Source organism: Homo sapiens, chromosome 15 (genome assembly GCF_000001405.40).
Source record: "Homo sapiens chromosome 15, GRCh38.p14 Primary Assembly".
Classification (NCBI taxonomy): domain Eukaryota; kingdom Metazoa; phylum Chordata; class Mammalia; order Primates; family Hominidae; genus Homo; species Homo sapiens.
In genome coordinates, this window is record NC_000015.10 from 67,300,362 (window position 1) to 67,313,602 (window position 13,241).

The window sequence follows — 13,241 nt, forward strand, 5'->3', positions numbered from 1 at the left end:
CAAACAACCCTATGAAGCTAAGGGTTACTACCCAGTTTTACAAATGAGAAATCTAGATCATACAGCTCAAATCAGGACTTGACGTCTATTGTTCTTCATATTACCTAAGACAGTGGTTGAGAGAATGAGTGTTAAAAGTGACTAAATTCTTTGTATTTTTCTTTTCTCTGCATTTGAGACTAAACAGCAGCTGTCTTTAACCAGTGGGAATATGATATTAAGCAATATCCACTTTAGAAGACACTACTTGCAGGAAACACTGTCGATAATACTGTAACTTAGTAAATAGCCTCTCTCAACTTTGTTTGTGAAGCATTTCAATTTTGATTACTCTGTGTGGGATCTACTGCTCAGATGTGTGTCATTTTATGGTCTACCCATGTCTGGGGAGCTGGCATTACACACTGCCTAGTGTTTTTAATTCAGAAGTTGTTCTAAAAGAAACCTTAGCCTCCTATATTCCAACCCTAGTTTTAATAGCATAAGCTATTTCCTTCTTATATAGCTTTGTGGGCATAATAATGAAATAAATACCACAGAATCACTGATGAGATGAAAATTGAGCTCCCTGCTTCTGTGCAGCCATGTAGGTAAAACAGTAATTGGCTCTGATAATAACTTTTGTTCTTACAAACCAGAGTCTAAATGAGAGTCACATTTGATATATCTGCTTGTAATTACCATCAAAAGGAAAGAATACAAAGTTTAGATTGTCTAGTGACTCAAGATGGATTACATAAATTGGTATCTTTTCTTGACCAATTTACTAAAAATTTCTGAAGTTATTTCTGATATTTATCTTACTGTTGGTAAAAAATGATCATCTTCCAGAGCATACTTTCCTGCTTAATGGAATGATTAATTTTATTTTTGTTTTTGAAGTCTGTAATTCATTTTCTTGAAAACCTTATTATTGAGTCTCATAATACAGCTATGCTTATAAGTATTTTCCCATACATCACTATAGATGGTTCGTAAGACAAATTTAGGTTTTGAATGTACTTGGTAGTGAATTTCAGTGAAACATTTGTTATGTTAAGTTTTTTTTTTTTTTTTTTTTTTTTTTGAAACCGAGTCTCATTCTGTTGCCCAGGCTAGAGTGCAGTGGCATGATCTCACCTCACTGCAACCTCCACCTCCTGGGTTCAAGCAATTCTCATGCCTCAGCCTCTCAAGTAGCTGGGACCACAGGCGCACGCTACTACACCTGGCTAATTTTTGTATTTTTAGTAGAGACGGGGTTTCACCATGTTGGCCAGGCTGGTCTCGAACTCCTGACCTCAAATGATCCACCCACCTCGGCCTCCCAAAGTGCTGGGATTACAGGAGTGAGCCACCATGCCTGTATGATTATGTGAATATTCTTTAAACATAGATTCCTTTTAAGTGTTTTTGAAAAGAGCAATTAAATCATGTGTGCTACATATTACTATTTTGGTATACACATGCATTGGGACCAAAATAGTAAATATGAGAATATTAATATTTTAAAATTATCTTTTAACCTCAAATGATTGCTTTCGAACCCAACAATAAAGAATTGATAGTACACCTATCATTTCTGTTGGATTTCTATTTACATACTGATTTCTTTTCAGAAATAACTATGTGTAGTGCTACAGAATTTAACAATAGGCAGAACACTACAGGATTTTAAGGCCAGTTTTAACAGTGATTCTGTATTTGGCCATTTCCTCCCTACACCAGACCTATAACCACACAAACTTGATGGAGCATGATAAAACTAAGAAAACTGCTATGAGCCAATAATCCCATAATTAAAATGTTCTAACAAAGCTTAGACGTGATAGATGAAGCTATTACCATCAATTCTGTATCCAGAATACACACATTTTAAAAACACCCTAATTACAGAAACCCACATCCAGTCAATACAATACATATTAGCAATTTCCCAATCCTTGGTAGAATAGAAATTATTCTGAAAGTTTAAGAAGGAAAAAATTATGTTCAGGTATTAATTTCAATAGAAGAGGCAATCTGCTTCCATGCAAAAACCCTGGAGTAGTGCTGTGAGTGTTACCCACAGAAGAAAAGCCATTTATAATTAGGTACGACATTACTTTTGTGACCACGTGTACCTCAAGGAGAAGGAAATAGACATGCCTTGTTTGCATCCTGTATCCTTGCCCAGATTAAATAAAGTGGACAGTTGAGGGCAGTTATTTGGAGATTTGGTTTAAGAAATGCTATTGGTCGACTACAGTGGCTCATGCCTGTAATCCCAGCACTTTGGGAGGCTAAGGCAGGTGGATCACGAGGTCAGGAGTTCGAGACCAGCCTGACCAACATGGTGAAACCCTGTCTCTACTAAAAATACAAAAATTAGCCGGGTGTGGTAGTGCACACCTGTAATCCCAGCTACTCAGGAGGCTGAGGCAGGAGAATCACTTGAACCTGGGAGGCGGAGGTTTCAGTGAACCGAGATTGTGTCACTGCACTCCAGCCTGGGTGACAGAGCGAGACTCCGTCTCAAAACAACAACAACAACAACAACAAAAAACCATGCTATTAAAAAGTAAAAGGAAGATTTGGGATATCTGTTAAAGACCTTACCTAAACGTATCTATGCTTATCTAGCATACATTCTGTAGATATTTTTGTAGCCTTCTTCACTTTGACCTTAGGCACAGACCCTTTATAAATGCTTATGTCAAAGAAATAGATGGATCATGAACAAATCTGTCCAATTCCTACAACATTTTAACAACTGCATCAGATCACCCTCAAAACTAAGACACTTAATTGAAAGGAAAACAGTTAGGTTGCTCACAATACTTCTAACCTCCTTTTTAAAAAGTTGCGAAGCCTACATATTTTGACTCCATTTTTATGAAATGTCCAGAATAGATACATCAGGAGAGACAGAAAGTAGATTACTGGTTGCCTGGAACTAGTGGGAAGAGGGAATGGGGAGCAATTGCTAATGGGTATGAGGTCTCATTTTCGGGGGATGCACATGTTCTGGAATTAGATAGTGGTGATGGTTGTGAATATACTGAAAACCACTGAATTGTACACTTTAAAGGGGTGAATTTTATGGTATATGCATTATATTACAATTTTTAAAATCACAAAAGACTAGAAATTATTAGTAATACCATATTCCCTACGTGCCAAATTATTTTTTAGCCTCAAATCATAGAATCCCAAAGCTTGGGCATGGTTCCTCAAGAGACCATTAAGTCTAACATGCATTTTGTGAATAGAGAAACTGACTTCCATAGAGGTGAAGTGACTTACCCAAGGTCACACACAGCAGTCGAGAGGAGAGCTGGCACCTAGGTGTCCTGACAACTATCTAGTGCCCCTTGCCACCACCACTATGTGGCCCACTCTCATGGTTTATCAAGCATGTCAACAATAACTAATTTGAATTATTTAAAATGAGGAATAAGTGGTTCAGACAAGAGGCTTTTATTTTTTTCTAATGAAAGCATAAATTATTCTTACAGATAAGAGAATCTCTGTGAAGGAGTAGATAAATTTGTTGTGGTAAATTTACCAGGCCCAAACTGAGATTTACCTGTAAATGTCCCTAGAGGAAAGTGGCCACATTAACAGACCAAGGGAGCCCTCTACCTGTGTATTTGTAGTATAGATTTCATTGACAAAATCCTTGACCTGGAAAGCTAAAAAGAAATTAAGACCAGGTATTCTATCTAGTCCTTTGCCCACCTTGGTTGGCTTCCAGCATTATTTTTAAGAAAATGTGTCTGAGGATGTATTTGTGGGAGCAATGGGATACACGGAGGAAAATCTACACAAAGTTCCTTTTCTGTGAATAAAAGGGACTGATTAGCAGCCTAAATAAAAGATCCAAATATATTTTTTTCCAGTGAGAATTTCATTAAAATAATTATTTCCAAAGAACTTTAAACTCCTTTGAGGATATAAAATGTTAGTAAGCATTTTTGTTCATCCAGCATGAAAGTTTCATTGTTTCTTTGTTTCAGCGAAAGATAGGGTTGAATGTAAAAATCTTGCAGGATCCTGAAAACATCCACCACAGAGCTGCTGTAAATGCGAACTATGGAATCAGTTTGCCATATATTAATCAGAGAAAAGCATGTGTAAGTAATGAGTTGTTTTAATGAGCTCTTATTTTTTTAAGAAATAAAAGTCATTTATTAGTAGTGTAAGATGTAATGTAGATGTTAAGTAAAGATTGTGATCCTTTTGTCTTTGGAATTTTTTGGAGATGAAATGGCTCTCATTCTGTTTATAATTAGCAATGATTAAGAAAATGTAAGCCTGTTTTTGAAGACTTATTTGTAGCTCATTCAGATTTCTCTATTTTATTTGATATTCCTAAATAATCTAGTACCATAATTTTAACGAGGAAATAATTTACCAGCAAAAAGAATTAATAGAGAAATTTTAAATATTGTATTTCTTTGATAGTAGGCTTACCACTAGAAAAATCCAAATAAAACAACAGCACAGAATCCTCTTCCATTGTGTATACTGTCATAATATGCAAATATTTGAGAATATTATTCTAAATCTGAGGCAAGCAGGGACTAAGCCTTTATGTCAGCAAAATAGTGAGAGGGAAAAATAGTCAAATGTAGATCTGCAGTAAGAGATCTCAGAGTCAATGCCATTTTTGCCATTGACTAGATGCTACCTTGTCCTAAAGCAAGGATTGTACTCTATGTTGTGGAGTTTTCTTAGGAGAATTAAGAGTAGTGCTTCATTTTAGCTGGGAAATTATTTAATTTGAGATCATTTCTAACACTGAAAACAATTACTGAGGTAACATCTCTATTTTTTTAAATACATTTTTAACCTTTGGCTTCTTTCAAAAGCTCTTAAATGTATGCCTTGGTGAAATCAAAACTAAAAACAAGATTAATGTTAGGATTAAATTGCAAAGCCATTTCTAACTAGCATAATAGTCTCTTAGGTTAATCTTCCAAATTTCCTACACAGACATTTTCAACTGCCTACTTCATTCGTGTAACCCTGAAATATATTTTCAGTTTCTTTATATGTGCTTTATGTTATTCTAACAGGTTTGGTTTAAGAGCACTTTATCTTACAAATACTTCTATAGCCTAAGAAATAACCAGAAAGTTAGATATTTTTATTCCTGCTGAAACTTTATTTAAAATGTCACTGTGAATAATGTGAAAGGGTTTTTATCTGCTTCCCATGAGCCCAAAGCCCCTGAAATACAAATATTATTTCTCTGGCAACACAGACAGAAGCAGATTTCTCTTTTGTTGTTGGTTTTCCTCTTCCATCTAGAATTAATATTGGCTTAGCTGGAGGAGTACTGAGGCTTTGTAGCCCGAGGCAACTGCTGTGTTTCATGTGAACTTTTTCTGATGAGTACTGGAGTTTTAAAAGGCATACCTCTAGATTTAAAAAGGATTATGCTTTGCTTTATGAATCTGAATGAAGATTCAGACTTAAGCAAATAGAGATTTCAAAATTATATCCAAAACTTGGGGCAGATTCTTAGTCATTAATTGTGTATTTTTCCAATTTCCAAATAGAATGAGTGCCTTGGATGTTGTATCTACATACTTTGAGCAAAGAGAATTTGGGAAAGCACTTCCCTTTTATGACATATAGCTAATAGATATTCATTTACTGTATTAAATCTCCTTTTTCCATCAAACTTGATGCCATAAAAATCTACACCAGAGCAATTTAAAATTGGATATACATTGTGTATATTTTTTTCAAACTGTTGGCCTTTTGATCAAATAGTTAGTTGACCCTATCATTTTATGTTGATATAGTTGTATGGTAATACTAACTGAAAAACAGTATTTTCATTTTGGATTTATAAAACAGAAGCATTGTGCAAAAAGTACTGTGAGAGAAGTGTGTTCAGGTATTTGGTTTTAAACAGTCATATAAAGCATTTGGGGATAAATGCAGTTGTGATTTACCACTTATAAAAATCATTTCAAAAGCACTTACCCAAACTAGAGTAATGTGTCTAGCATTGGGATGTATAGTTAATTAGAAAGGCATCATCAAAGCTAATCATTTTAGAACTAAACACTCAAACGGGATTATTATTTGGCTGCCGAGGGCCATGTGTTTCGTTACTTCTTATGAAACTTGATCAGCTTGTCAAAAGCTTGTAAATAACCTTAGACATTTTTGACAGAGCAAATGTGAATATGTAGCCAATTTCCATTATTTGTTCCTAGAAGCTGGTATCTTCTCCATCTTATGAAGTGGTGTATTCCTCCTGATAATAAGAGGCTGATGCCAGGATTTTAGTGCATTGAAAACACATATACCCCCTGCCACACACACATACTCATATTGCAAAACTATCTTCAGAATTTTATATCCTGTGACTCTGTTATGTAAAATCAATTTACCAAAAACATATTAAAAGTGAGACTCACTGGTGATTTTTTCAATATCTTCAATCTGCCAAATAGTAACAAACAACCTTCTAACATTTTTTCTAGTAGGTCCTCAAAGGTATGTGGAAACAAGAAGAAATCCCTGGTACTGTTCATGTTCCCTCACTGACATCCAGTTCCAGTTAGACTTTATAATACAACACATTAAGAAATCTACAGAAAATTTGACTTTGATTTATTCCTTTTAAATAAAAAGTGTTTCTTAAAAGGCTTGAAACATGTATCTGTTAACATGAATTTTAAAAGAACAATTATGAATGCATAACAAAATAGCCAAACCAAACATTGCTTTGAATTGCTGCACAAATAACTGATTATAACTGTTATGACCTAGAAAAAAATCATAAAAACATTTTTCTTTTTGGCAAGATGTGAGTTGCTGTAGAATTATACCAGTTCTTTGGTTCTACTTTCCAAATAAATATATATATAATGCAATGTAAACTTAGAATCTTTTATTTATTCATGAGGTTGAATTTAATACTATTATGATTTCTAGATTTTATGAGTCATATGTTATGCAGTGTTTTCCACTAACTTAGTTGGGTAGCAACCACACTTCACAAATCATAGTTTCATTCTTTACTGTTTCACTTGGGGTGTACATAGTAATCTCTCTCTCACTGAAAGCATATTCATTTCTGAAATGATAAAGTAATAGAAAGTGAGGCAATTGTGTTAATGTCAAATGATTAGAAGAAGCACTAGAAGTAAGGGGTGGGGTGGGGGTGGGGGTAGGGAGTGGGAGTGGAGAAAGAAGGGCGATTTCAAAACATGATTGTGTTTTAAGCCCATGCATATGGCCACAATTACAGTCACAACATAATTTGGCAACGGTAGCAGAATTAGATTTAAACAAATTGATGTTACACTGCAGTAATTCAGAATGAGCTTGTTGCATTTATAAACCATAACAAGAAGCAGAGTGAATTAATAAACCTTTCTTGTCACTAAAAATAAAAAAAGGGAATAATTGCTGAGATGGAGTTAACTTAACAGATGACTGTAGTCAGCATCCTTTCAGGCTAGATATGGGAAAGTGAAGGTCACCCCCATCTCAGATGACAAAGAGGGAACATTTTGTTGGTAAACAAATTAATCTTTTGAAAGGTCGCCATTTGTTTTAAGTTTTTATCCAGTTCTTGTCATCTGGAATCAGAGATTGACTGTCATTTCACCAGGTAGGGGTGCAGTTGAGGCAGACAAAGCTGCTTCTGTACGTATCAGCATTCCTTGACAAAACTCAGTGCCTGATTGTGATGCTATGGGCTGCTGGTTTACAGCTGTCTCCGGACAAGAATGGAGGCCCACCCTTGAATTCCAATAAGATGGGCCTGCATATTCCGCCTGCTGTAAGCTGGCCCTCTGCCCACAAGTAAAATGTATTGTAGTTCAAGCCAGCAATTATCTCTTTTACTTCCTTCTGTGCTGCTTCTGTTCTCTTTTTCCAAAAACAGATGTGGGTATTCACTCAAGTTCTGCATCTATTCTTTCTCACACCTGCTGGGGCAGAATTTTGACAGAGGTAGAGTTTGAGGGAGCCAGCAGACAACAATCAGATGCAATTTCTTTGAGAGCAGTTTAAAAAGAAAATGTTGATTTTTCAGGAAATGTGGAGTCAGCATCTTGGTCCCCCTCCCTTTTCCCAGGAGCATTTGGTAAATTAAATTAGTTGAACAAAAGGAAATAGCTTTAAAGACATTCTGAAATGCCATATCCTATTTATGACACAAAGTCATCACCCAAGGACTGTGGTGGCATGCACAACATCCCACTCCTATCATTTAAAGTGAGCTTTCTCTTCAGGTTGCTTAGAAAGAGTTTTTGACAAAGGAGTGACTTTTCATGTCCTTCCTGATTCACAGCCTATAAAATATATTCCACTAATATGGCAGTGAAGGTGGTGGTGGTGGTGGTGGAGGTGGTAGTGTATTGCCTTTGTATGTTGTTGCTATTCAGAATGTCAATTCTGCATTGGTTTGGAATAATGGGAAAGCTGAGGAAAGTGATGGAATGTTGGCTGGTGGATGGCTGTCTCACTAAAGCCCATTGCTCTGGGAGCAGGGAGAGGCAATGAGAGGCTATAGCCTTGTCAGATAACATTCATAAAAAAAAATCTAGCTGTAGTGAGTTCTTTTAATTTATTTATAGTGGTATGTTTCTTGAGCTTCTCTGCCATGATCCTGTATGCATTCCCAAACCAACCCTATGCTGAACTGAAACCACTTTTTAGCTCTTAGAATAGTGATTCTGGGTCAGACTGCCTGGTGTGAATCCTTACTAGACCGGGATCTCCCAGAAACAGTCTCCCTTTCCTCATGTAAAATGTCCACAATAAAAGTATCTATCTCATAGGATTGTATTGAGTTTTTAATGAGATAATTCAAAGCACTTAACAAAGGTCCTGGTACAAAGAAGTGTTCTGAAAAATATTAGTTATTACTATTGGCAAGTCTCATATATTGTATTGTGCCATTGTTTTATACTGTCATTTAAAACATATTATTGTAGGGGTCCAGGGAGGGAACCAGAATATTGCTGAGGTCTCCTCCAGGGATGCTATTTAATATTTTACATGATTATGCTTTCTTTCCCACACAGATATGAGGACAGGGACCTTGTTGTCTGTTCTGTTTGTCTGTTTTTCAAATCCTCCCCTGCACCAAGCAGTGTTTTACACATATTAGGTATTAAGGACAGGACTGATTTGTCCCCTCCTCTGTCTAGTCTCTGCTCTGAAGCTATATAGACTGATGTTGAGTTTTGAAGTGAAGTAATGATTTTGCTGGCTCCTAGTAGGCCTAGTTGCACAGGATACCCTCTCCATGGGCCATCTGATAGGATTTACCTAGTGAAATGCTGGTACTACTGGATTCCTGTTGCAGCCTTGCCACTAACTAACTAGTGTTTCCAAGAGCAGGTTACTCTGTCTCACTCATTCTCATTTTTCTGTTTTATGAATGGGGGAAGCAAGATGGAGAGGCAATCTGGTGTGCTGGGAGGGGCTTGGAGCTGAGTAGATCAAAGTTTGGGTCCTATCTGCTATTTTGCAGTTACTGAACCCTAGGTAAGCAAATTACATTTCAGATCCGGTGTTCCCTCTTTTGTCAAGTCAAGATAATGATGCCTACTAGATAAGGGTGCTATGGAGAATACAGATAATATATTAACATTGCTGGCACATAATGGGTACCTAATAAGGTTCTTACCTTCCTGAAAAATGAATTAGTGTTAAAAATCTCTCATTTCCTTCTTCACACTTATGCTTTTAGAAAAGAATCTGATTTGGCTCCTTTTACATCCTAGTGTAAGTGAGTAATAGGATTTAATGTTCATTTTCAAATTGGAGAACTCCAGTGAGTTTCAGAGGGGTTCTAAGCATTTAATTTGCATTTGATTTTTAATGATAAATATTTAAGCATTTTAAGTATAATAAAGAAGAATACCTACATATTTCAATTGATGCCAAATTTTAATGCATTTGATCATTTGATCGTCAGTGGGTTAATTTGTGCTTTCAGGCTTACTCTGAGTGTGTGTGTGTACATTTGAATTTCCCATAAAGGTGTTTTTTATTAGATAGGGTGTAGCTTTGTACTAGTCATATTTTGAAATTCAGATCTGCTCATATACACTCCTGTAATAATCATACAAATAAATAAGCAAAGATTAAATAAGCTAATATGTGTGAAGGTCATAAAGCAGTGCCTGACTCCTCGTAATCATTCAAGAAACATTAATTGGTATTAGTATTAGAACACATGTGTGCTACTATCAATTAAAAGCCAGGAAAGTTCTCTGGTGCATACTTTTGGCACAGCATAATAGTCAAGTATACAATTACAATAATATAGCCATATCATGATAGTGTAGCATCACAGATTGTTTCACTGCTTGATTTAAGTTTGGGTTGGTTCTTACATGATTTGAAATGAGCTATACAATCTTTGACAGTGCAAGGTTGCAATGTTATTCTGTTTACAACTGCAGATAAAAGTCAACAATGAAGCATAATGTCAAAATTTGGACTCAACATGCAAAACAAAATTAGATTTTTTTGAAACTCAGTGACTGTCTGAAAGAGAAGGGTGGCGAGATATCTGAAAAGAAATTTAAATGGGATGTGATAGAACATCCTAAAATGTTACATGACACATTTGAAAAATATTTTTGGTAATTTAGCTCTTCAATTGTAGTAGCATTTATTAAGTTTGCCAGACACAGTGTTTTATGTACACTATCTTATTTAACCCTTACACCTCTAAGTAGGTGCCATTTTTATAATCATTTTATAGATAAGGAAACTGAGACTAAGATTAAGCTACTTGCCTGAGGTTGTGTGGTAAGCAAGGGGAGTCAGGATTCAAATTAATTATGAAATCTATTTGTCAAATATCCCCCAATTGACTACTTACCAACTAATCCTTAATTATTAAGGAATGTAAGCAGTTGGTAGATATTGTTAGTCATTCTATTTTGAAACAAAAAATTTCTACTATTTTAAAGTTTCTGGATCATTTTAATTGAACTAAATTCTGAGATTATAACTACCATAACAAATTGTTAGCTATTTGAAATTACTTATTTGTTAACATCTGGATTTTCTACATCTTGTGCAGGCAAAATAAAATATATAAACAAATTGTATTCTGTGATAGATGTAAGACTGCAGTTATTTATAACTCTTGATTTCATAATTTGTCTTCATCAAAACAGCCTTATTGTTTCCAGTGTTGGTTTATATTGCTATAACCAGAAATATATAATATAAATACATATATAGTAAATATATAATATAAATATTTATATAATATATAATGTAAGCACATACTATATTTAAGTAACAATTATATACATATAGGTACATAATACTATATGCAATTGTTACTTATATATGTTTTGACATACACAATTATACTAAATTCTTATAAAATTTGCATTTACTTATTTATCAGCATCTATTTAAGGTTGCATTTGAAAAACTTGTTCTACTGCTGAAAATAAATTTGCAAATCTTTGGCATCAAGTATTACCTCTCCCATGGGTATTTATTTTTTAACAAGAGCAAATCCGCTACTTAATTAAAACAAAGGAGTTAGGCTCTATTAAGGGATTTCAAGCATGAGTGGACAGAGAGAAGAGGGATTTGGGGGAATCCAGGAAGAGAGCCTTTGCACTGCTCTGAAATCATTCCAGGTCAGCAGCCACCTGCTAACAGGACTAGGCCTGCTCCCCTATGATATACTTTTACTTTGTGCCTTTTCACTTTATGACTTGGGCCTTGAACTTGAGTATTTGTTTGATTACATACTGAGAGATAGTGTTTCTAACCTCAAAATTAATTCCACTTTGAAAAGCCAAATTTAGGTAGGCACAGAGACCTGTGTCACATCTATGGTAGGTTTAGGGTACAGGGGTCCATGGGTAGAACTGTATTTCAATAGACAGAGGGAACTGTGTCACACCTATGATAGGTTTAGGGTACAGGGGTCTATGGGTAGAACTGTATTTCAGTATAATAGGTTCCCATGTATTTTATTTAATCCATTTATAAAACATTATTCTGAGAAGGGGTCTGTAGGCTTCACCAGATTGCCAAAGGGGTTCACGACGTCCCAAAAGTTAGAGCCGTGATAGATCTTTTCTTTCACGCAAAAATCCAGTGTGGGACAAAGTATGCATCAGAACAGAGAAATATCCTAAAAACCCTGTATTCTTTATGGGTGAAATATCCACTTCTCTTAGTTGATGGTGCCAAAAATCTATGGAAAAGTGGATACGTCTAGACTACCAGCCCAGATTTTTATAAGAATTACATCTTCTTGAGTTAAAATATAAAATTTATGCTTTTGCCTAATTACTGTTGCTTTTCTGTTGCAAGGAGGAAAATAGAGCAGCTACGAAAGTGGTAATGCTTGCAATAATATAGTAAGTGTTCTGTTTAAAATGAAGCAAAGGAAAAATACTTCAGCAAGTAGTGTGATAGCATTAGCCACAAGAGAAATGGGACTAATAGGATTGTTTTTATCATGGTCCAGGTTAATTATCTACTGAGAGGTTCTTGAGATGAATAAATACTATTGCTGTGTTCTCCAGTATTCTAACCCATTGTACCTTAAACTGTACTTGAATTCAAGTATACATTCCTAGACTTTTAAAACCTCCTTGGTAGAATAGAAGTAAGTACCCATAGACTAGAGTGATTCGCCCTACATTTTCTTTAAAAGCATTGCCTCTGAATTATACTACAGAATGTGTAAAGTAAACCCAGAAGATACTTACTTAGAGGAGATTCCTCTCATTAGGCCATAAAGTTTGGGCAATATGACCTGAAAATACCAGATTTATATAATTGATTATTTATATTAAAAGATTATATAATCTTCACAATAGCCTGAAAAATAAATCAGTTTATGGTTGGCAACTAAGAGGTCTGAAAACAGCCATGCATGCTTTAGTAGAAAGAGCCGTAGATGGAGAATCAGAGGACTTGGGTTTTCAATCCTGCTCTCAATTCTGGTGCTGTAAACCAAGTTAACATAGGTATACCACTTAGTCTCTAAAGACAAATTCTTTATCTACATACTGAAAAGATAAATTGGCTACTTCAGAATCATCGTCAGGGCCACAGTCCTGGTTATGTGACTCCCAGATTAATGCTCATTTGGTTCCTTGTGGAACCACTAGTCTCTCAAGGATCAATGTAATTGATGGATGGAGGCAAGCCTTAAGATAGGCCTTAGAGGAACTGATGGGCAAGACTAAAGGAGAGGTGTTGTGCATTTTAAGTACCAGAAGCAATACAAGCAAAGGCAGAGGTAG

At 35.4% G+C, this 13,241-nt stretch overlaps 1 protein-coding gene across 12 annotated transcripts in view; it reads left to right on the forward strand.

Moving 5' to 3' along the window:
• Nucleotides 1–13,241, forward strand: part of IQCH (IQ motif containing H) — a 247,019-nt gene that overhangs the window by 45,576 nt on the left and 188,202 nt on the right. The window contains exons 5-6 of one of the 12 annotated variants that reach the window (NM_022784.3): nt 3,978–4,094; nt 6,465–6,863. The exons of the other annotated variants lie outside the window; for them this stretch is intronic. Coding sequence (NP_073621.2) covers nt 3,978–4,094; nt 6,465–6,467 — 120 coding nt within the window. The 3' untranslated portion in view covers nt 6,468–6,863. Of the gene's footprint in view, nt 1–3,977; nt 4,095–6,464; nt 6,864–13,241 lie in introns of those variants that run through there. 12 annotated transcript variants of the gene reach the window in all.